This window comes from Homo sapiens, chromosome 12 (assembly GCF_000001405.40).
Source record: "Homo sapiens chromosome 12, GRCh38.p14 Primary Assembly".
NCBI classification, from domain to species: domain Eukaryota; kingdom Metazoa; phylum Chordata; class Mammalia; order Primates; family Hominidae; genus Homo; species Homo sapiens.
Genome location: NC_000012.12, coordinates 95,735,640 through 95,760,673, shown reverse-complemented (window position 1 = coordinate 95,760,673; position 25,034 = coordinate 95,735,640). Strand labels below are relative to the sequence as shown.

At 40.9% G+C, this 25,034-nt stretch overlaps 1 protein-coding gene across 4 annotated transcripts in view, besides 4 other annotated features; it reads left to right on the top strand.

Moving 5' to 3' along the window:
- Positions 1 to 25,034, top strand: part of NTN4 (netrin 4) — a 133,349-nt gene that overhangs the window by 30,482 nt on the left and 77,833 nt on the right. For all 4 annotated transcript variants that reach the window (NM_001329701.2, NM_001329700.2, NM_021229.4 and 1 more), the window contains exon 3: positions 22,530 to 22,808. In NM_001329701.2, coding sequence (NP_001316630.1) covers positions 22,530 to 22,808 — 279 coding nt within the window. The remainder of the gene's footprint in view (positions 1 to 22,529; positions 22,809 to 25,034) is intronic.
- Positions 13,128 to 13,272: an enhancer, noted in NCBI's record as "145 bp 12:96141252 sequence used in MPRA reporter constructs". NCBI's record gives its function as "activates a minimal TATA-containing promoter with rs7131946 allelic activity by MPRAs in C283T melanocytes {active_cell/tissue: C283T}" and the evidence as "EXISTENCE:reporter gene assay evidence [ECO:0000049][PMID:36423637]".
- Position 13,200: a transcriptional cis regulatory region, noted in NCBI's record as "rs7131946 or 12:96141252 MPRA-significant variant associated with a GWAS melanoma risk locus at 12q23.1". NCBI's record gives its function as "allelic transcriptional activity by MPRAs in C283T melanocytes {active_cell/tissue: C283T}" and the evidence as "EXISTENCE:reporter gene assay evidence [ECO:0000049][PMID:36423637]".
- Positions 19,726 to 19,870: an enhancer, noted in NCBI's record as "145 bp 12:96134654 sequence used in MPRA reporter constructs". NCBI's record gives its function as "activates a minimal TATA-containing promoter with rs11108230 allelic activity by MPRAs in C283T melanocytes {active_cell/tissue: C283T}" and the evidence as "EXISTENCE:reporter gene assay evidence [ECO:0000049][PMID:36423637]".
- Position 19,798: a transcriptional cis regulatory region, noted in NCBI's record as "rs11108230 or 12:96134654 MPRA-significant variant associated with a GWAS melanoma risk locus at 12q23.1". NCBI's record gives its function as "allelic transcriptional activity by MPRAs in C283T melanocytes {active_cell/tissue: C283T}" and the evidence as "EXISTENCE:reporter gene assay evidence [ECO:0000049][PMID:36423637]".

Genomic DNA, 25,034 nt, shown 5'->3' with positions numbered 1-25,034 from the left:
CAATTGTTTTCAGACATTGGCAACAGGCAGCACAAGACCGTGCTCTGAGAAAGAAGAAACAAACATAACAATCCCTACAATTGCCCCAATTTGCTGATTGGACATTTCCAAGCCAACACATAGGAAGGAGAACCCAGAGTCCAGTGGGCCCACCAAGTTGAGGAGACAGAGATGAGTGCTCAAGGAGGCCAGGGCAGCTAGAATTTGTTGGGTAGAATACTGGGGAGGAGAAAGCTACATAAGAGAAGTCCAGAGATCTGTACACAAAGGTCTCCTTAAGTTTTCGGCTAAATACTGAGCTGCATATGTGTGAGGTAAACTCTAAAAGAGTGAAGAAAGAACTGTCAGAAAGTAGTAGTTGAACCATTCTTAGTATTCCTATGAGTCTGGGAATAGTTCACCTTCTCACTGTCTGGACCGGAAAGACCTCATAATTCACAGGCATCTGGTAGAGCCCTCAGAAAACCTTTGTAATAGGGTTAAATTAGCCCTAAAATAAAGGCAAAACTGGGTTCACCCTAATAAAAATTTACAGCAATCTTCAAAAAGCTGAACATGATCTCAAATAAATTAACTGCATATCAAAACAAAGTCTAACCCTTTTTGGAGAAATATATCAAAATCCATCAAGCAACAATATAAAATTCACAATGTCTAATGTTTAATAAATTACAAGGCATGAAAATATGACTCCTAACCAAAAGAAAAATTGATGAATAAGAACATCCAGAAATTACACAGCTGGTAGAATTAGCAAGCCAGGACATTAGATCATCTACTATAAATATACTCCGTATGTTCAAGAACATGAACATGTGGAAGAGAGAAATGGAAGATATTTTTAAAAGATGTAAGTGGAACTTCTAAAGATGAAAAATACAATATCTGAAATTTAAAAAATATACTACAAGGGGCCAGGTACAGTGGCTCACACCTGTAATCCCAGAACTTTGGGAGACTGAGGCAGGTGGATCACTTGAGGTCAGGAGTTCCAGACCAGCCTGGCCAACATGGTAAAACCCCGTCTTTACTAAAATACACAAAAATTAGCCAGGTGTGGTGACAGGTGTCTGTAATCCCAGCTACTCAAGAGGCTGAGGCAGGAGAATCACTTGAACCCAGGAGACAGAGGTTGCAGTGAGCCGAGATAGAGCAAGACCCCATCTCAAAAAAAAAAAAAAACAAAAATACTACTAGGGACTGACAGTAGATTAGATAGTGCAGAGGAAAAGTTTGGTGAACTTGGAGGCATAACAATAGAAACTATTAATGAATCACAGACAGAAAAGATGATTAAGTAAAAAGAGCATCAGTGAAGTGTGGGACAATGTTAAGTGGTCTAACATTCAAGTAATCGGAGTCTAAAAGAAGAAGCTGAGGACAAAAAACATCTTTGTAGGAGTAACAGGAAAAAAAAAATTTCCAAACTTGATGAAAGTTATAAATCCACAGATCTAAGAAGCTCAGTAAACCCCAAGTAAAAAATAAAACAAGCTGTAAAGAAAAGCACATCAAACAAAGTTACCACGCTGATTCAATGAAGAAGCGTTAGTCTTTCTAATCAACAGTGCTGGAATAATTAGACATTCATATGTGAAGGGACAGAAAAAAGAACCTCAACACTTAGTTCAACTGTAGAGAAAAATTAACTCAAAATGAACTACAGACCTAAATATAAGAGCTGAAATCTATACAACTTCTAGGAGAAAATATTTATGACCTTGAGTTTAGGCAAAAATTTCTTAGAATGGGACACAAAACAGCACAAACTGTAAAAGAGAAATACTGGTAAACTGAACATCATAGAAATTAAAAACTGGACAGGCACAATGGCTCACGACTGTAATCTCAGCACTTTGGGAGACCAGATCACTTGAGCCCAGGAGTTTGAGACCAGCCTGGGCAACATAGGGAGATCCCATCTCTACAAAAAATTAAAAAGTTAGCCTGGTGTGGTGGTGCTTGCCTGTAGTCTCAGTTATTCAGGAGCCTGAGGTGGGAGGTACACCTGGGCCCAGGAGGTTGAGGCTGCAGTGAGCCGTGATCGTGCCACTGTTCTCCAGCCAGCCCAAGCGACAGGGCAAAACCCTGTCTCAAAAAATAAAATAAAATAAAAAACTATTGCTATTAAGACACTGTTAAGGAAAGTGTTAAAAGGAAGCCACAGATAGAAAATATTTGCAAATCATTACAAACTGAATATATATTTACATATCACAATTCATAAGGAACTCATAACTCAATAAGAAGAAAACAAGAATTGAAACTGAGCAAAAGATTTGAACAGACACTTCACCAGAGAAGAGGATGCATGTCAAACACATGAAATGATGCTCAGCATCACTAGTCAACAGGGAAATACAAACTAAAACCACAGGGAGATACTGCTCACTTTCACTATAAAGCCTAAAATTCAGAAGACTGATAACACTAAATATTGGAGAGGAGGTATAGCAACTAAAATTTTCATCATACATTGCTGCTAGAAATGCAAAATAGTACAACAACTTTAGCAAACACTTTGGCAGTTCCTTATAAATATCCACTTACCATACCACCTAGCAATTCCTCTCCTAAGTACCCACGAAAAATAACTTACATGCTTATAATGACTTCTGCGTGAATGTTCACAGCACTTTTATTCATAATAGCCAGAATCTGTAAACAACCCAACTATCCATCAACTGATGAATGAATAAACTGCCAAAATTCTTCAATCAGTTCTTTCTTGCTTCCATTTACTTGTCTCATGCTCTTTCCTGAATCCTTTATAGCTGTCCCTTATTCCATCTAAGCTCTCAATAGTCTTCTGTTATCCAGCCAAACCCAGAAAGGTTTTTGTAATCTCCTTTTTTCTAATAAATTGCATTTGCCATTTTTAATTACATTTTTTTTTTTTTACTTTGCATTCTCACTTCCTTGGGCTTCTATGATAATGAATTTTCACTATTTTCCCATATTGCTCACGGATCTTTTTTTTTTTTTGTATTATTTTTGGCTCTTCTTCTTTCTGAGCTCTAACCATAGATGGCCCCCAAAGCTCAGCCTTTAGTTCTGTTTTTGTTCCAACATTCATTTCTTTGCCTCTCACACGTGGCTGTTCTTCCCCTGCTCCCCACTACATCTCTTATTCCCCAAACTGCCTTTACCATGGTTCAGAGTCTTCTCTTTGCCATATTAATTCTCCTGAAGGGAAGGTCTGTTCATTTCACTCCCCTGATCACTTGCTATGTATTCTATAACCAAACAAAGTCAGCTGTGATGTAATGGTAATAGCACTGAACTTGGACTCCAACAACCTGGGTTCAAGTACTGGCTCTGCCACTTACTAGCTAGGTGATGTTGGATAGGTTAATTAACATCTTCTCAGAGTTTCTGTATCTGAAAGAGGGGAATGGATAATACCACATCATAGATTTACTATAAGGATGAAATGAGATAAAAATAAAGACAGTTTATAAAATGTAAGCCATTATTAAGCATGAATATGAGTTTTCAACAAATATGTGTTAACTCATATATGCCAAGCATTGCCTACACACTGATGGGCAAGCAGACAAGGTCCCCTGCACTCATGTCTCACTCACAGTCTAGAGAGAAATACAAGCAATTAAGCAAATTTAAAAATAGACATGGTATATTCTAAGTCTGGAAGAAATAACGGGTGCTTGAAGTAGCACATAGAAGGAACAGGGATGATAAAGAGAGCTTCCTGAATAAAGTTACATCAAAGATGACATCTAAAAGATTGGCATGAGTTGACCAAGTAGAGGGTGGGAGCGGAATGGGTGGCAATGACAGAGAGGTGTGGCAAGTGATCCAGCTGGGGAATAGCATGGGCAACAGCTGGGCAGGCAGCAAGTTCATGGAGCTTTCCAGGAACAGAAAGGGGTTCTCGGTATGGCTGGAGTATAAAGTTGGGTACAAAGAGAGGAAGAAAGAGTGGGGAAGGATGGGCAGGGAAAAAAAAGAGAGATCATACAGGCAATTTCCACCAGAGGTCAAGCAGGCAAGAGATTGATGATCCAAGACGAAGTAGTGGGGTATTCCTAAGTGTGGGCCGAGCATGGTGATAGGAAATTGAGGTGATCAGTATTGGGAAGTTACCAGTGTAGGCACACAGCATCCAAGAGGCCTGTCCATGAATCCTAGTCACCGAGCTGTACTCCCCAGGAGGACTCAGTCCCAAAGAAGGGAGATTGACAAAAACAAGGCAGGTTCCCAACAAAAAGCGACACACCAATCAATCTTATTTATAAAGGGCAGTGATTTTTCAAGGCATTTCCACATCTCAGACCTTTGAAGAAAACGTTCACTACATCTTTGCGAGCCAGGCAGAAGCAGGTATTACTACTTTTAACCAGTGTACAGTTAATCACATCCATTCACAGAATAAAGGTGGCACAGTTCATCCTATCCATTATTTGGTTGACAAGTGCTGATGGTATCAATCATATATAATATTTTCTTTAATCCTATGTTTTTAATTTTAATCCAGGAATGGCTAACTCTAAAACAAGTATAAAATGGGATATAGTGAAAAAATCATTAGATTGGAGGTTAGGATTTTGATTCCAGTCTTAACTCTGTCACCAACCTATTGATTGACACTTGGCAAATCACTTCAAGTTCTCAGAGCCTCAGTTTCGTCTAATTGGACTAGCCCATTGATTGCTAAGGACGTTTCTGACACTCAGATCCTTTGACTTCAAGTCCTGAGGGCAAAAAGAAAAAAAGGCTAGGATTCCACATGTATTGAAGAATTTTTAAAATTTATTTTTAGCCCCAGTCTTTATTTTCAATTTGGTTTTCTATCTTGTTTCTCATTCCTCAGTTACAGTTCTGTCATTTCCCTTTTCCCTGAAGATATTTACGAAGCTGCCTTTGCATCACTTTAAAACTGTAAATATGCCCTTGAAACATGCAAAGAGGCTTTTGTGTACTTACAAATTGAGGTTATTATCGTACAAGTAAGTCACTTGAGTGCACTGCATTCTTCAGCTTGCTCCATTGAGAGCTTTATTAGGTTATATTGTCCTATCTCAGAAGATAAGACTTTCCCACTTTAAAGGGTGGGCTATCTGATGAAACAGGGTGCCGAATGCTCCAGAGTATAAGCAAAAGGATTTTGGTGCTGCCCAAAAGACAGACACACTTCTCTAATACAAGTAGGTACTTCACTTAAAGGGGCACAGTCAAGGACAAATGTTCTAAAATTAAACCAACCAGCTGCAGACGCCCACATGTCAATTATGCTATCTTCTAGTCCAGCCTTCTCTTTCCATGAAACCAGAACTCCCACTCGCTGCAACCCTGGAAACTTCACATACTTTCCAAGTGGCCACCTATCCATGGAAGCAGAAAGCCCGTTTCAGAACATACTAGGATACATGTCCTCATCTGACAGAATGTATGCTCTTTGGGTTTTTCAACTCTGGTACCAAAATGTCAACTTAGGCGATGCCAGAAATTGGTTTCACGAGTCAATTGAAGTATAACCTTCCTCTTCAAGTGAGGTGACAATACAAAAACTAGTCTGCGAATTACATATATTTTAGGAACCTAAAAAGCATGACAGATTTAAGTTTTTACATAACTTAATAAACAATAGAAATGGAGACAAATGTGTCTATTTCTACGTTTGGGTTTTAGGTGTATTAGCAACCTAACAATAATCAGAACAGTTGTGAATGTGTAGTGACAAGATTTAACTGAATTAACCAGATGCTGTTTGTAAATAACTAGTAAACAACCACATAAAACAAATGATGGCTTTATAATACTTTCATGCGCGTCCATGTGAAGAGACCACCAAACAGGCTTTGTGTGAGCAACATGGCTGTTTATTTCACCTGGGTGCAGGCGGGCTGAGTCCGAAAAGAGAGTCAGTGAAGGGAGATGGGGTGGGGCCGTTTTATAGGATTTGGGAAGGTAATGGAAAATTACAGTCAAAGGGGGTTGTTCTCTGGTGGGCAGGGGTAGGGGTCACAAGGTGCTCAGTGGGGGAGCTTCTGAGCCAGGAGAAGGAAATTCACAGGGTTAATCACTCAGTTAAGGTGGGGCAGGAACAAATGACAATGGTGGAATGTCATCAGTTAAGGCGGGGCAGGGCCTTTTCACTTCTTTTGTGATTCTTCAGTTACTTGAGGCCATCTGGGCGTATACGTGCAAGTCACAGGGGATGCGATGGCTTGGCTTGGGCTCAGAGGCCTGACATTCCTGCCTTCTTATATTAATAAGAAAAATAAAACAAAATAGTGTTGAAGTATTGGGGCGGCGAAAATTTTTGGGGGTGGTATGGAGAGAGAATGGACGATGTTTCTCAGGGCTGCTTCGAGCGGGATTAGGGGCGGCGTGGGAACCTAGAGTGGGAGAGATTAAGCTGAAGGAAGATTTTGTGGTAAGGGGTGATATTGTGGGGTTGTTAGAAGAAACATTTGTCTTATAGAATGATTGGTGATGGCCTGGATACAGTTTTGTATGAATTGAAAAACTAAATGGAATAAAAGAAGGAGAAAAACAGGTATAAAAGGTCTAAGAATTGGGAGGACCTAGGACATCTGATTAGAGAGTGCCTAAGGAGATTCAGCATAGTCCTGCCAGCCAAGATTGTTTGTTTACTTCAGGAGTTAAGTGTGGCAGTTTGGGGATAGCACCAGGAGATATCAGCTATGATGGCTTGGAGAAACAGTGTAAACCGGCAGTGTAAACAAGAGCAGGGCATGTATGAGTAGTTGAGAACGGTGAATAGGAGTATGACTAGACAGAAGATAGTAGGGATGACAAGTTTTTTTGGGGCACAGTCTAAGTTGGTCTGGTGTCGAATGAGACTGGGGCCTAATAAAAAGGAGCGTCTATACAGGAGCTTAAATTGGCTGTACCTTGTAGCATTCTGAGGACAGGCCTGAATTCTGAGAAGCGAAAGTGGTAAAAGTATTGTCCAGTCCTTTTTAAGTTGGTAGCTGAGCTTGGTGAGGTGTGTTTTTAAAAGACCTTTAGTCCGTTCTACTTTTCTTGAAGACGGAGGACCGTAAGGGATATAAAGGTTTCACTGAATACTAACAGCCTGAAAAACTGCTTGGCTGATTTGACTAATAAAGGCTGGTCTGTTATCAGACTGTATAGAGGTGGGAAGGCTAAACTGAGGAATTATGTCTGACAGAAGGGAAGAGATGACTGTGGTGGCCTTCTCAGACCCTGTAGGAAAGGCCTTTACTTATTCAGTGAAAGTGTCTATTTAGACTAAGAGGTATTTTAGTTTCCTGACTCGGGACATGTTGAGTAAAGCTAATTTGCCAGTCCTGGGTGGGGACAAATCCTCGAGCTTGATGTGTAGGGAAGGGAGGGGGCCTGAATAATCCCTGAGGAGTAGTAGAATAGCAGATGGAACACTGAGAAGTTATTTCCTTGAGGATAGATTTCCACAATGGAAAGGAAATGAGAGGTTCTGAGAGGCGGGCTAGTGGCTTGTACTATAGCATAGCCTGCCTTTGCTGGTGTGTGGCAATTAGGCCTGGTGGAACTGCCGTCAATAAATCAAGCGTTATCAGGGTGAGGAACAGGAAAGAATGAAATATGGGGAAATGGGGTGAATATCAGGTGGATCAGAGAAATACAGTCATGGGGGTCAGGTGTGGTATCAGGAATAATGTGGGAGGCCAGATTGAAGTCCGGACCAGGAACAATGGTCATTGTGGGACTTAAAGAGCGAGCACAGCTGAAGGAGCCGGGGAGCAGAAAGTATATGCATCAGGTATGAGGAAGAAAATAGATTTTGGAAGCTATGAGAAATGTAGAGAGTGAGTTGAGCATAGTTTGTGATTTTTAGGGCCTCTAACAGTATTAAAGCAGCGGCAGCCGCTGCACGCAGACATGAGGGCTAGGCTAAAACAGTAAGGTCAAGTTGTTTGGACAGAAAGGCTACACGGTGTGGTCCTGGCTCTTATGTAAGAATTCTGACTGCGCTAACCATGCCTAGGAAGGAAAGGAGTTGTTGTTTTGTAGAAGGTGCTGGGGTTTGAGAGATCAGTCGGACACGATTGGCAGGGAGAGCACGTGTGTTTTTATGAGAATTATGCCGAGATAGGTAACAGATGAGGAAGAAATTTGGGCTTGATTGAAGTAATGGGGGCTGTCTGTGAAGCTTTGTGGCAGTAGAGCCTAGGTAACTTGCTGAGCTTGATGGGTGTCAGGGTCAGTCCAAGTGAAAGCAAAGAGAGGCTGGGATGAAGGGTGCAAAGGAATAGTAAAGAAAGCATGTTTGAGATCCAGAACAGAATAATGGGTTGTAGAGGCAGGTATTGAGGATAGGAGAGTATATGGGTTTGGCACCACGGGGTGGATAGGCAAAACAATTTGGTTGATAAGGCGCAGATCCTGAACTAACTTGTAAGGCTTGTCTGGTTCTAGGACAGGTAAAATGGGGGAATTGTAACGAGAGTTTATAGGCTTTAAAAGGCCATGCTGTAGCAGGCGAGTGATAACAGGCTTTAATCTTTTTAAAGCGTGCTGCAGGATGGGATATTGGCGTTGAGTGGGGTAAGGGTAATTAGGTTTTAATGAGATGGTAAGAGGTGCAAGGAGGGAGTAGAGGTATCTTATACTTGTGGGTTAAGGTGGGGGGATACAAGAGGAGGACGCAAAGGAAGCTTTGGATTGGGAAGAAGGGCGGCAATGAGATATAGCTGTAGTCCAGGAATAGTCAGGGAAGCAGATAATTTAGTTAAAGCGTCAGCCTAATAAGGGAACTGGGCAGGTGGGGATAACTAAAAAGGAGTGCTTAAAAGGGTATTGTCTAAGTTGGCACCAGAGTTGGGGAGTTTTAAGAGGTTTAGAAGCCTGGCTGTCAATACCCATAACAGTTATGGAGGCAAGGGAAACAGGCCCTTGAAAAGAAGGTAATGTGGAGTGGGTAGCCTCCGTATAGATTAAGAAGGGGACGGCCTTACCTTCCACTGTGAGTTACCTGAAGCTTGGCGTCCGTGATGGTCTAGGGGGCTTCCGAGGTGATCGGGCAGTGTCGGTCTTCAGCCGCTAAGCCGAGAAGATCTGGGAAGGAGTCAGTCAGAGAGCCTTGGGCCAGAGTTCCAGGGGCTCTGGGAGTGGCTGCCAGGTGAGTTGAACAGTCCGATTTTCAGTGGGGTCCCACACAGATGGGATGCGGCTTAGGAGGAATCCCGGGCTGCGGGCATTCCTTGGCCCAGTGGCCAGATTTCCAGCATATGTAGCAAGCTCCTGTGGGAGGAGGTTCTGGAGGAACGCCTGGCCGCTGCGGTTCAGGCGTTTGGAAGTTCTTGTGTGCTGGAGATGTGGCTGGGGTTTGTCTCACAGTGGAGGCAAGGAATTGCAACTTTTTTCTATTATTGTACACCTTGAAGGCGAGGTTAATTAAATCCTGTTGTGGGGTTTGTCTCACAGTGGAGGCAAGGAATTGCAACTTTTTTCTATTATTGTACACCTTGAAGGCGAGGTTAATTAAATCCTGTTGTGGGGTTTGAGGGCCGGAATTTAATTTTTGGAGTTTTATTTAATGTCGGGAGCAGATTGGGTAATAAAATGTATTTTGAGAATAAGACGGCCTTTTGACCTTTTAGGGTCCAGGGCTGTAAAGCGTCTCAGGGTTGCTGCCAAACGAGCCATGAACTGGGCTGGGTTTTTATATTTGATGAAAAAGAGCCTAAATGCTATCTGATTTGGGATAAAGAAAAAGGAGCATTAACCTTGACTATGCCTTTAGCTCCAGCCACCTTTTTAAGAGTAAATTGCTGGGCAGGTGGGGGAGGGCTAGTCACGGAAGGAAACTGTAAGCCGGACCAGGTGTGAGGAGGGGAGGTGATAAAAGGATTATAGGGTGGAGAAGCAGAGGCTGAGGAAGAATTGGGACCTAGCTCGGCCTGGCGAGGAGCAGCCTGGGGAGGAAGGGAGAGGTCAGATGGGTCTGTAGAAAATGAAGATTAGAAAGACTCAGCGACGCTTGGGGTTGGTACTGAGGGGACAGGCGGGAGGGAAAGAAGGAAGATTTGGGACGAGTTGCACTGGGCACAGAGGCTAGGAAGGGACTGATGTGTAAAAGAATGCCTGGACGTCAGGCACCTCAGACCATTTGCCTATTTTACGACAAGAATTATTTAGATCTTGCAGGATGGAGAAATTCAAAGTGCCATTTTCTGGCTATTTGGAACTACTGTTGAGTTTGTATTGGGGTCAAGTGGCATTGCAGAAGAAAATAAGGCATTTAGGTTTTAGGTCAGGTGTGAGTTGAAGAGGTTTTAAGTTTTTGAGAACACAGGCCAAGGGAGTAGAAGGAGGAATGGAGGGTGGAAGGTTGCCCATAGTGAAGGAAGCAAGCCTAGAGAAAAGAGAGAGTAGAGAAACAGAGAGAAGGGGTTCGGCGGTTCTTACCTTCCAGAAAAGTGGGAAAAGGGGTTGGGGCGCAGAGATAAGAGGTCGGGGCACGGAAATAAGGGATGGGGCACAGAAATAAGGGGTTGGGGCATGGAAATAAGGGGTCGGGGCACAGAAATAAGGGATTGGGGCGCAGAGATAAGAGGTAGGGGCGTGGAAATAAGGGATTGGGGCGCAGAGATACGAGGTTGGGGTACTTGCCCCTCCTCTAGAAAAGCAGGACTTGCCGCTAAGAGTGAAGGAGAAGGGGTTGAGGGGTACTTGCCCCTCCCCCAGAAAAGCGGGACTTGCCACTAAGGGTGAAGGAGAAGGGGTTGAGGGGTACTTGCCCCTCCCCCAGAAAAGCGGGACTTGCCACTAAGGGTGAAGGAGAAGGGGTTGAGGGGTACTTGCCCCTCTCCCAGAAAAGCGGGACTTGCCGCTAAGGGTGAAGGAGAAGGAGTTGAGGGGTACTTGCCCCTCCCCCAGAAAAGCAGAGAAGGGGTAGAGACAAGGAGAGAAGGGGTTGGGGTACTTGCCCCTTCCCCAGAAAAGCAGGACTTGCCACTAAGGGTGAAGGACCAAGGCAGGCGTCCCTGCGTGATCTGACACCTTTGAAACGTGGGTGTATAATCAGAGAGGCGTCCCTGCAATGTTTAAACACCAAGGGAAGGCTGCCTTCCCAGTCCGTGACCGGCGCCAGAGTTTTGGGTGCACGGATAAAATGTGTCTCCTTTGTCTCTCCCAGAAAATGAAAGGAATTGAAATTAAGAGAAGGGAGAGATTGAAGAGTGGAAAGGAGAAAGTGGTTGAGGGACAGTGAGAGAGGTTGGAGAAGAGAGTAAGAAGAGGCCGCTTACCTGATTTAAAATTGGTGAGATGTTCCTTGGGCTGGTCGGTCTGAGGACCTGAGGTCATAGGTGGATCTTTCTCACGGAGCAAAGAACAGGAGTACAGCGGATTGATCTCCCAAGGGAGGTCCCCCAATTCGAGTCACAGCACCAAATTTCATGCGCGTCCATGTGAAGAGACCACCAAACAGGCTTTGTGTGAGCAACATGGCTGTTTATTTCACCTGGGTGCAGGCGGGCTGAGTCCAAAAAGAGAGTCAGCGAAGGGAGATAGGGGTGGGGCCGTTTTATAGGATTTGGGAAGGTAATGGAAAATTACAGTCAAAGGGGGTTGTTTTCTGGTGGGCAGGGGTAGGGGTCACAAGGTGCTCAGTTGGGGAGCTTCTGAGCCAGGAGAAGGAAATTCACAGGGTTAATGGTGGGGCAGGAACAAATCACAATGGTGGAATGTCATCAGTTAAGGCAGGGCAGGGCCTTTTCTCTTCTTTTGTGATTCTTCAGTTACTTCAGGCCATCTGGGCGTATATGTGCAAGTCACAGGGGATGCGATGGCTTGGCTTGGGCTCAGAGGCCTGACAAATACAAGTGGAAATGTTTCTCACTATAGATCCTATTCCAACCAGGCTTAGACACAGTAGGGAAGAAATGTGATTTTATATATATAAATAGGGCCAGGCATGGTGGCTTACAGCTGTAATCCCAGCACTTCGGGAGGCCAAGCTGGGTGGATCACCTGAGGTCAGGAGTTCGAGACCAGCTTGGCCAACATGGTAAAACCCCAGCTCCACTAAAAATACAAAACTTAGCTGGGCATGGTGGCATGTGCCTGTAATTCCAGCTACTCTGGAGGCTGAGGCAGGAAAATCACTTGAACCGGGAGGTTGCAGTGAGCCGAGATCATGCCACTGCATTCCAACGTGGACAACAGAGCGAGACTCCATCTCAAAAAAAAAAAAAAAAAAAGAAAAGAAAATAGGTTTTACTATGGAGGTGATTTGTCTTTTTATTAGATTATATTAGGCAAAAGTTCCAGGGATTTCTCCCTAAATGTTTGTAGTCATTCCTGCAGTTGGTGTAAATTTATTACTGAAAATATTCAAATATTTAATACTTTTTCAATGCCATATTTGAATAATGTAATGAATAAATAATAAGCTGATTAATATTAAATCTATTTTTTCTTTTCTTTTCTTTTTTTTTTTTTTTTTTGAGACAGAGTCTTGCTCTGTCGCCCAGGCCGGATTGCAGTGGCATGATCTCGGCTCACTGCAACCTCTGCCTTCCAGGTTCAAGTGATTCTCCTGCCTCAGCCTCCTGAGTGGCTGGGACTACAGGTGCGTACCACCATGCCTAGCTAATGTTTCGTATTTTTAGTAGAGATGGGGTTTCACCATATTGGCCAGGCTGGTCTTGAATTCCTGACCTTGTGATCCACCCGCCTCAGCCTCCCAAAGTGCTGTAATTACAGGTGTGAGCCACCATGCCTGGCATATTAAATATATTTTTTCTATAAAGTAAAATTGTGCTAGTTATGTTGAAGGGGGTGTAAGATTACCATAAAAATTAAGATATTTTTTAAGTGATAAAGTTTATTGTGAGGCAATATGTACCTAGAATTTTTGCTTATTAATGAAATGTACATTATAAAAATAAATTTTTATTATAGTTATTCCATTATTTTTATATTGGAAAATCAAAATAAACCTGTATTGACATGATTCAGATTCACTCATTCAGTAACATTATTGAGAATTCATAAGGCATTGTATTAGATGTTGGGGATATATAAGGATGCATCAAAACATAGCATAAACACACACACAAAAAATATAAATAGTCCAAGCACAGTGGCTCGTGCCTGTAATCCCAAAACTTTGAGAGACCAAGGCAGGAAGATCTCTTGAGGCCAGGAGTTTGAGACCAACCTGGGCAACATAGTGAGACTTAGTATCTACAAAAAATAAAGAAGTTAGCTGGGCATGGTGGCATGCACCTGTAATCCCAGCTACGCAGGAGGATTACTTGAGCCCAGTAGTTCAAGGCTGTGGTGAGCTATGATTGTGCCACTAGACTCAAGCAAGACATTGTCTCTGAAAAAAAAAGAAAACAATACATACATATATAGGCGATCATAATAATAGGTATCACAAATTATTTGAAAAGTTATAATGGGAGTTTACTGGTATATTCAGACACAAATTACTAAAACAGAATTATTGAATAAATGTACAAAGTTTAGATGCTTATATTTTCTTTTTCAAATTTTTCAGGAACATATTTTATTGATTTTTCATGCCTTTCTATCTACTAAATATAACTATACTTCTAACTTTATTATAAAACATCCAATATGCCATTTCTATATATTTGAGTACAAAAATAAAGGCTTAGTTTATGTACAGTTTTATAAACTGTGTTTTATAAAAGTTAAGCTGCCTTGGGTTTTTACATGTCACTTCTCATCCAGGATGGGTAATAAGGACCAGATTTACCCTCCCACCTGAAACTACTAAAAAACTGGACAAAATATGTGAAACAATTGTTTTAAAGTATTGAACTTCCAGCAGAAGAGGACAATGATCCCTGAGAGAAGGGAAACAAATGAGGTGAGCCCTACAATTACCCCAGCTTACTGCCTAGAGAGGGTGTCCAGTCTGCAGTGCAGGGAAGAGGAACCTAGATAGAGCTCGATGGATTTCCTGACTTAAGGACTCGAGAATCTAGGAAAGACCAAGGGAGCTAGAGTTTGCAAGGTAGAGTTCCACAGAGGAGAGCACTATATGGAAGAGACTTTCAGAGATTTGCAGATAGTCCTTCTCAAGTCTCCAGCTGAGAACTGTTCAACACATATGCAAGAAAACTACCTGAGGCCAGAGAGAGAAACACCCTTGTTGTACCTGAGCGAGTTAGAGAAAACGCCACACTTTGAGATGAATTAAGAGTCCGTTTATTTAGCCGGCGGCCAAGAGACAGCTAATGCTCAAAGTTCTCTCGGCCCCGAAGAAGGGGCTAGATTTTCTTTTATACTTTGGTTTAGAAAGGGGAGGGGGGGGTCTAGTTAAAACAACTTTACAGAAGTAAAGTAGGCAAAAAAGTTAAACGGATAAATGGTTACAGGAAAGTAAACAGTTCCAGGTGCAGGGGCTTTAAGACTATTACAAGGTGATAGACGCGGGGCTTTGGGTGTTATCAATCGGACGAATTCCTGGGAACTGCAGATATTGCTCGCCACAGTATCTTATCAGTTAATTGCATTCTTGGATGTGCTAGGAGTCAGCTTGCACAAGTTAAGTCCTTGAGGAAGGGGCTGCCAGTGAAAGAGCCAAGATGGAGTCTGTCTGGCTCTCTTAGCTAAGGGAGAATCAATTCAGGTGGAAACAAGTCTAGGTGATTAAAGGAAAGGGAGAGACTAAGAACAGGGTTAGTAAAAACAAGGTTGGGCATTACACCCTGAAGGAGGGAGGGAACAATCCCCAGAGGTAACATGGGGCCAGGAACAGACAGTGTGGAAAACCTTGTAATTCATTGTTAGAGTAATTCGAAGAGTATCACCTCAGTAGAGGGGCAGAATTAGCCTTATGCTAGAAAATGCATTGGTCCCACATAACAAAATGTAAAAGCAAGACTCAAAAGGATCCAGCTATTTCCAGGAAACTGAACTGCATCCCAAGAAAAAGCTCAAGAATACAAAAATATTCAGCCCCCAACAAGGTAAAATTCATGATACCTAGCAGCTAATCAAGACCTGCAAAGAAACAGAGAATACAACTCATAATAAAAAGAAAAACAAATCAATAGAAACAGACACAGAAATGACACAAATGATACAGTTAGTAGCTGAGGACTTTAAAACAGTTATTATCACTGTATTTCTTATGTTCAAAAGGTGGAAGAAAGATGGAGCACATTAAGCAGAGGCAAGGAAAAGATAGCAAAAAAAAGTTGAATGACCATTTTTGAAGATTCTGATGCCTGAGATGAAAAATACATACCAAACAGGATTAGTAGACTAGACATTGTAGAAGAAAAGATTAGTGACGTTTAATACGTAGCAATAGAAATGACCCAATATGAAACACAGGGAGAAAAAAAAGCCAGAAAAAGAAATAAATATAGCATTAGTGAGCTCTGGGACAGCTTCAGGCAATTTGGTACATGTAGTTGGAACCAACAAAGGAAAGAAGGGAGAGGAGGGGAACAAAAATTTTTAAGAAATAATGGTTGAAATTTTTCTAAATTTTATAATAACTATAAATCCATGGATCCAAGAAGTGCAACAAACCTTAAACACAAGAAACAAGAAGAAATCTACTCCAAAACACATAACAATCAAATTGTTTAAAAAGCAATGGTAAAAAGAAAACCTTAAAAGCAGCCAGAGAAAAAAATGGCACATTACGTACAGAGGAACAAATCTAAGAATGACAAAAGCTTTTTGTTGGAAACAACGTAAGCCTGAAGACAGCGGAGGCAGAAACTTTTAAAGTGCCGAAAGAAAAAAAGAAGTCAACTTAGAATTCTATACCCAGCAAAAAATATTTTACAAAAATGAAGATGAAGTCAAGACTTTTTCAGACATAAAGAAGCCAAAAAAAAAAAAAAAAAAGTTTTTCACCAGCAGATTTGCATTGAAGGAAATCCTTCAGACAGAAGAAAAATGATACCAGATGGATATCTGGACCTACAAAAAGGAATGAAGATCATCAAAAAGGAAAAGTAGGTGAATACATGTGAAATGCCTTTTTATATTTCTAAAATCTCTTTAAAGATAATTAGTTGGCTTTTTAAAGCCAAGGTATTAACAGTGTGTTGTGGAGCTTATAACATATACATAGAGGTAATATGGATGACAACAGTGCAAAGGTTGAGGGGAGGAAATGAGAGTATACTCTTCTTAGTTTCTTATACTATATGTGAAGTGGTAAATATCATCAATCACATTAAATGTAAAAGGTGTAAATATCCCCATTAAAGGCATAGATTATAATATTGGACAAAATTTTTGAAAAAGATTAGGTATGCTGCCTATAAGAAGCTCACTTTAAATATAAAGATATAGCTAAGTTAAAAGTAAAAGGATAAAAAAAGATATACCCTACTAATACTTTAAAAGAAAGCTCGAGTGGCTATATTACTATCAAAGTAGATTTTAGATCAAAGAATATTGCCAAGGATAAAAAGGGACATACACTGATAAAACAGTCACTTCATCAAGAGGATATAACAATCCTCCATGTTGGCGGGGCACGGTGGCTCAGGCCTGTAATCCCAGCACTTTGGGAGGCTGAGGCAGGTGGATCACCTGAGGTCAGGAGTTGAAGACCAGCCTGGCCAAGATAGTGAAACCCCATCTCTACTAAAAATGCAAAAATTAGCCGGGCGTGGTGGCAGGAGCCTGTAATCCCAACTACCTGGGAGGCTGAGGCATGAGAATCACTTGAACCCAGGAGGTGGAGGTTGCAGTGAGCCAAGATCGCGCTACTGCCCTCCAGCCTGGGGGACAAGAGTGAGACTTCATCTCAAAAAACAAAAAGCAACAATCCTCCATGTTTATGTACCCAACAACAGGGCTTCAAAATACATGAAGCAAAACCTGAAGGGAGAAATAAAATAAGTTGATAATTATAGCTGGATATTTCAATACTTTTTCAAGGATACAAGGTGCATTATCAAGACAGAACATATACTGAGTCATAAAACAAGTATTGATAAATGTAAAAGGATTCATATCATACAAAATATGTTCTTTGACCACAATGAAATTAAGTTAGAAATCAATAACAGGAAGGTATCTGGGAAATCCCCAAATAACTGGAGTAAACACACTTTTTATTCCAGTTATTCAAAGAAGAAATCAAAAGGAAATCAGGAGTATTTTGAAATTGAATGGAAATGAAAACACAGCGTATCAAACTTCGGGGGGATGCAACTGAAGAAGTACCTAGGGAAAAAGAAACATCTCAAATCAATGATCTTCAAGTCCAACAGAGCTTAAAAGTAAAATTCACTGCTTAGTGAATTATTTTTAAAAAGTCAAATCAATGATCTAAGTTTTCCCTTTAAGAAACTAGTAAAAGAAGAGCACATTAAACACAAAGTAAGCAGAAGAAAGTAAATAATAAAGATAAAAGCAGAAACCAATGAAAAAGAAAAACAGAAAAACAATAGAGAAAATCATTAAAACAAAAAGCTGCTTCTTTAAGAATGTGAGGATGTGTCTAGTATCTTAAGAACTGTTAAAGAACAAATGCAGTTATGTTCCTGAAGTTGCTATTTTTAGTAAATAAGAAAACTAGATCAGAAACTATGGAAAAGATTTGTATTTCTTGGAGTGTTTGCTATACCTGCCTGATCCATTTTCTTAAGAATATGAAAGATCTTGTGTGCTACTGAAGAGAAGAAATCCATAAAGCATTTTGAAATGTATTACATATTTTTACATAGTGTTTATACATAGATGTGTGTGTTCACATCGTTCTCATCAAGAGTGCGGAACTTGTGGTAAGAGCATCTTGCTATCTGTGTTCTTCTAAACTCTAGACCCTGTTTGGCTTCTCCTCTTAGAATGATACTTGGAGAAATAGTTGATTCATTTATTCATTCAGCAGTCATTATGAAATGCTACAATGTGCCAGAGACTGTGGGACATGCTGGGGAGCACAGCTGTGAACCAGACAAACAGGATCCCTGCCCTCTGAGCACTGAGTCTGATGTGAGATACAGACAAGTAAATAGGCAACAACAATAGAACAGTGTAAGTGTGCCATCATGGAAGGAACGAGTTCCAAGGGAGTCCACAGGACGGCCTTGAATATTATTCCTCAAGCTAGCAGCTAAAAAGAATTTTTAAAAATATGATCACATTTATTATTACAAATTTTTATAATTCAACATAGGCAATACAATGTTAGGCATGGAGCAATATGTTAAGATATGAGTTTGATTCTCAAAGAATTCCTTGACTATTATGTACCTAATATTTATTCCTTATTCTGTTCACACTGTATTGATGCTCTGTTTAAATTTTCATCTCAAAGCATAAATAAGACATATAGCATGCTTTTTTTTTTTTTTAACGCCACCATGCCTGGCTAATTTTTGTATTTTTAGTAGAGATGGGGTTTCACCATGTTAACCAGGCTGGTCTCAAACTCCTGACATTGTGATCCACCCACCTCAGCCTCCCAAAGTGCTGGGATGACAGGCATGAGCCACCGCACCTAGCCTAATTTTCCATCTTCTTATTGAGAATTTTTTATGAGTATTCTAGAATAGAAAGATCATATAGGTCATTTTCACCTGTTCAGGACTTTGTATGGATTTCTCTGTTACACTGGGGCACAAAGAAATGGCAGAGCCTGAGCCAAGAATCCCCATCCTCAGGCAAAGTTCAAGGGATTCGAGGCTTAGAGAAATAAGGCAAGACCAGGAAAATGTGAAGATTCCAAAGGTTAGGTAGGAAGGGGTCCATGATTCATTCAGAGGGTCAGATATTTTTTAAATTATGCATTTCCTTTACCCATTGATTTCAGCTTTGGAAATGTATCTTCAGGAAATTATTACAGTAGTCCTCCCTTATGTGCAGTTTCACTTACCGTGGTTTCAGTAACCATCAACCATGGTCCAAAAATAGGCGAGTACAGTAAATATTTTGAGAGAGAGAGAGAGACCACATTTACATAAATTTTATTACAGTGTATTGTTATAATTGTTTTATTTTTCGTTGTTCTATTTTATTATTTGTTGTTAATCTCTTACTGTGCTATTATAAAGTTTAATTTATAAATTATATATAATTTTTATATATATATATTAAACACTTTAAAAGAAAGCTTGAGTGGCTATATTACTATCAAAGTAGATTTTAGATCAAAGAATATTGCCAAGGATAAAAAGGGACATACATAGATAAAACAGTCACTTCATCAAGAGGATATAACAATCCTCCAGGTTGGCATGGAGGAGATATATATATATATATATATATATATATATATATATATATATATATAATTTATACATAATTTACATTATAGGTTTTTCCTATACATACATACCTATGATAAAGTTTAATTTATAAATGAATTATATATAATTGTATTTAATATATAATAAATATATAATTATATATCATATATAATTCATTTATAAATTAAACTTTATCATAGGTATGTATGTATAGGAGAAACATAGTCTCTATGGGTTCAGTACTGTCTGCAGTTTCAGGCATCCCTTGGGGGTCTTGGAAGTCATTCCCGGAGGATAAGGGCGGACTACTGTCTGTACATCCACATTTTAGCTACAAGGTTGTTCCCTGCAGTGGGTTACACTGAAAAGCTGGAAGCAACCTAGTTGCCTAACAATAGCAGCCTGGCTAAATAAATTATGTCATAGCCACACACTGTAATTCTAAGCAGGTTTTAAAATTATGTAACGGTGTTTCTCAAATTTTGTTATGTGTCAGAATCACCTGGAAGGCTTGTTGAAACACAGATTGCTGGGCCCCACCTGCAGAGTTTCTGATTCAGTTGATCTTGGATAGGGTCCAAGAATTTGCATCTCTGACAAGTTCCCTAGGGGTGCTGTTGGTCTGGGGAACCATTCTTTGAGAACCTCTGATGTAGAGATACACTTAGTGACTTGGAAGAATACTCACAAGGTATATAAAGATGTTTATGTTGTATTTTATATGTATGCATACATACAGAAGTTTAAGTAGAAAGATATTATCAAGTTGGCATCCCTGGTTATCTTTGGAGGTAGATCACTTTGTAGGTACTTATTATCTTTAATATTTTGCATGACCGATTTTTCTGTAATGAGCATAATATTAACCACCAAAACATAATAAAAGTTCTTAATTAAAAAATGAGATCATGAAGTCCTGGCCAATAGCACTAACGAGCCAGAAATACTGAAGTATGCTTGAACCTGGTCAAAAAGCGCAATCCCTGACTTTCTAAATATTAATATATCTTGTTGGGAGTGTGTATTAAGAGGCAGTTGTAGACAGAGGATCAGTGATGGGCCTATAGATACATTCCCTTCCTTATGGGAACAAAACACAGAAGAGGCTGATACTATCCTGAGGGCTTCTACGTGTTTTCTTACTTCATTTCACTCATGCCATACAGGCTTCTTCTGGGGAAGTTTGAAGAAAAACTGGGTGGGACCCAAAGGGCGACCTGCCAGAAGTTGGAAGCATCTGTACTGGCGGACTCTTTGTTTCCTGACGCAGGGTAGATCCATTCCCAGGGTATCAGATTAAGGCGTCTCCTTTCTGGAAAAAAGATTTCATGGTTTAAATTCCCGTTCACTTTTGTGTCTGTGGCACTCTGCTGTCTCCTTTCCAGCACACAGCCTCAGGGGTCATGATGTCCCTTCCCTACTGATATCCGCGTGCCAACTGTGGTGTCATGCACACCAAGCACAGAGCCGCCATTCAGCTCCCACTGTCTGGGCTCAGGAAGCAGAAGAGCTTCAAAGTTCCTACAGACCTTGACAGAGCTTCCTCTGGCTTTGCCTGTGCGGAACAATTCTGAGGGTGAGGGGGAGATGGAATGGGGTGAGAGAGGGAACTAGGGTAAATGTCAAGGGTAAATACGTGGCAGAGACAGAGAGAGACCAAACAGTTGCCACCGAGGCTCAGGAAAAGGAAGGGTGGGCAGATAACGAGGAGAAGGACACCACAGACTTTTCAGTGGAGCTCTTACTTGGTTAGCACTGGTGTGTCCTTTTCCATGTCCTTGCATTACTGTGGTTGATAAAATAGGAGGTAGCACTTTACTGATATCATTTAGAGCAAGGGTTCTTCCTGTCTAACAGAAATGTCAGTGTTTGGAGGTCACGTTGAGAATCAGTTCCATATAAAGCCCATAATGGATTCAATTTTTAAAAAATGCTTCGAAACAGAAAATCATGTTCTAGCTGTTGTTAAAAGAAAAAGATGTTACTTCTGTACTGACTTTTGAATATATGACATATTGTTTGTTGGAAAATTTTATTTTCTGATAAGCTTCCTTCCACCACTTTGCATGTGGATAAATGGGACAGAATGTGGTTTGAGTTTAAGATACAATGTTGTTTAAGCTTTAAAAGTTCAAAAATAGCTAGAAATACAAATACCGGTTAATCCGTTATTTCTTATTATTGTCATAATACTGGTGTTTAACGTGAAATTCAGTATGCGAATGAATTTAGACCCGACATAAGGAAGTTATTTGGAATTCTCACCTATTACACAAATGCCAAGAACAATGTTAAATTAATTAATTTGTTTACCAAAAATTTATTGAATACTTACTATGTGCCAGCCACTGTCCTGGGATACATACGTGACCGCCTACATGAAGTTTTTGGTCTGGACTGGGAAGATAGTAAATCACTAAACCACTACAAATATAATGTCAGATGGTGATAAGTACTAAGAACAGAAACCAGGCAGAGCCATTATAAGGACCTTGCATCTTGTTCTGAGGAGAATGGGAGGTCTTCAGGTGGGGGTGGTTTAAGCAAGGGAGTGACACGATCCAATCTCTGTTTATAGAGAACCACTCTGGCTACTGGCTAGACCATGAGCTGCAGAGGCCAAATGTCTGCTGAATTATTACCCTCTCCCCCACAGTTATATTTCACTGAGGACAGGTCTGTACCAGTAGACCTTGGACATGTGACACAGTCGATTCTTTCCTTTTCATACTTTTGGTATGAAATTGATCTCTAAGGTGATACTTTTATATCCAAAAAGAGAGAGTTATATTTTTAGGCAAGGTAAATCAGATATCACCTCTCTGCCTACAGTGTCCCAGTGGCTTCCGCTACAGTCAGCATAACTCTACTGTGACTTCCACAGGGCTCCATTCATGTCTATCTCACACCTGCTCTCTGTCCGCCTCTCCAGCCACTCTCTCTTTGTTCACTGGTCTCCAGTCACACTGACTTCGTTGTTCTTCCTTGAGCAAGCCAAGCTTGACTCTGCCTCAAAGCCTTTAAGCTTGCTCTTCCCTCGCCCAGAATGCTCTTCCTGGCAAGATCTTTGTATGGCTGCCTTTATCTCAAGGGTCAGGTCTCTGCTGGTCACTCAATGTATACTTCTGTGTACAAACAGGCAGCACATCTGCTCCTTAGAATAACAGGGCGGCTCTGTCCCAGGTGTGCTCAAGGTCTAAAAACTTCTTGTTATCTTATCGTTCACAGATGACATAAGGCATAAATCAAACAGGGACTACATTAGGCAAACAATTCAGGGTTTGCGCACAGTCCTATAAACGCATGGTATTTTCTTTCTCCTTACAGGTTATTTTCAAAGCTTTGTCACCACCATACGATACAGAGAACCCTTACAGTGCCAAAGTTCAGGAGCAGCTGAAGATCACCAACCTTCGCGTGCAGCTGCTGAAACGACAGTCTTGTCCCTGTCAGAGAAATGACCTGAACGAAGAGCCTCAACATTTTACACACTATGCAATCTATGATTTCATTGTCAAGGGCAGCTGCTTCTGCAATGGCCACGCTGATCAATGCATACCTGTTCATGGCTTCAGACCTGTCAAGGCCCCAGGAACATTCCACATGGTAGGTGAAACAAGTCCTCCCCTAAGAAAAACAAATCATAAGTTACCTTCAGCTTTGGGCATTGGTTGGTATATGCTTAACATAGTGCTGCTGATTTTTTCCTCTGCCCATCACAGCTCCGACTCCATACTCATCCTATAAAGTGCCTGTTAACTTGTCTTTTAATCTTCAGTTTTAGAGTTGTAGTCAAGCCTGATAACCAGATTCCTTGGAAAACACCCATGCCAGTTTTTAGTACTGTGACCTTCAGATATAAAGTGTAAAGTGAGCAGGAGTGAGAGGATGGCATGATTATATTAGTGGTATTATCACACACAAGCCAGCTTTGACAGTAAATGGGGACCATTGTGGAGTAGATTTTAAAGTTGGAAAAATAAGAACCTCGATTTTATGCCTGGTATCTTTGCTGTCCAGCCAGCAGAATGAATAAAAATTCTCCTCCATGAAGAGGACTGACCCCCTCTTCACCTAAGGCAGAGTTAAACTCTCTTTCCTCTAGGTTCACACATCTCCTGGGCTTTCCTCTGAATTTTTACTTCTCTGCATCCCCCAGGAGACCACGAACTCTCTGAGGAACTGTATGATCTTTGTATCCTCAGGACCAAGTGTATTACCTGGGCCAGAAGTAGGTGCTCAGTAGGTGTTTGGTTGAATGATAGCAACATAGGAATAGGGAGATGATGAAAAATTAGTGTCATTGTTTATCTGTCCTTACCTCCCCGACTTCCAGAAAAGATACAGAGTGGCTCAGCAGTAAGCACCTTGTTGGGACACATCCAGAGACTATGGATGGGGATTGGGCAAGGAGAAAATAAGGATGAGCGCTCCAATTATTTGATTTTCTATTTTGCTCTGATACTTCTGAGCAAACCAAAGCAAAATGAATAAAATGGAAAAGGCTGCAGAATATGCTACTGCATTTCCTAAAGGATAGACATCCCTATTCTTTCTTCTTTCTCTCAGCCCTAGTATACGATAGGCCACCAGCAGCCATGATCCAGTTAGCCAGCAGGACAGTTTGTGCTGGCTGGGCTGAGTCGCTGGGGCAGCATCAGGGTAACTAAAATGACTAGGACAGTAGCCAGAAAGTAACCAAAATAGAAACAGTGCTATTACTTGTAGAAGTTAATCCAGGCTCCCAGAGTTGAAGAAAATGCAGCATTCATTCAACAGATACCTGCTAGTTTCTAGACACTGATGGATCTTTGAAATCCTACAGTATTGTTTCAAATAAAGGGTGCTATGATTTAGTGTATCTCAGTTAACTGGGTTCAGGTAGGATTCAATCAGAAAATAACAAATATTTAGAGACATGTCAACCTACCAGACTGTGAACTAGAAAGTTTATGTGAGGTAGAGTGCTCAAAATATTTTGCCATGACATTTTAGTGAATTTGTGAAAGGAGAGCATGCAGATCTTTTGTTTCCTCGACTGTCTCTTATAATCCAAGCCATACAGGACCACCTCAGAGTAGAGTCCTGAGCAAAATGACAGAGGCCCCCATAACATGGCACAGGGTGGACCCTCAATATTTGTGGACTGAAGGACCTATGAGACTACCTGCATGGCTCTGATCAACCACAACAAAGTGCCAGAGTTCTCAAGGGCCTTATAAAAACTTCAGGTGGCCGGGCACAGTGGCTCACACCTGTAATCCCAGCACTTTGGGAGGCCAAGGCGGGTGGATCACCTGAGGTCAGGAGTTCCAGACCAGCCTGGCCAACACAGCAAAACCCCATCTCTACTAAAAATACAAAAATTAGCTGGGCATAGTGGTGGGCGCCTGTATTCCCTGCTGCTCGAGAGGCTGAGGCACAACAATCACTTGAACCTGGGAGGCGGAGGTTGCAGTGAGCCGAGATCGTGCCACTGCACTCTAGCCTGAGTGACAAAGCAAGACTCTGTCTCAAAAAAATAAATAAATAAATAAATAAATAAATAAATAAATAAATAAATAAAAATTTAAAAAAAATCATGAGCAGGCATTTAAAAGTATTACTTTCTTTTTTTAAAGTAAGTCCTCTAAATATAAACTTTCAGAGTTAACAACACTTTCTAAGGCTGAAGATAAAAATTCTAGAAGTTTCTCTTTGTTCTGCCAAATTCAACAATGGATAATTACTCAAAGCTAACAGACACTTTTGAAGAAGTCTTAAAATACAACTATTCTATACAATATACTGCCAGCAAGAAAATTATCAGCCTGTAAAGAGGTTCAGGATAAC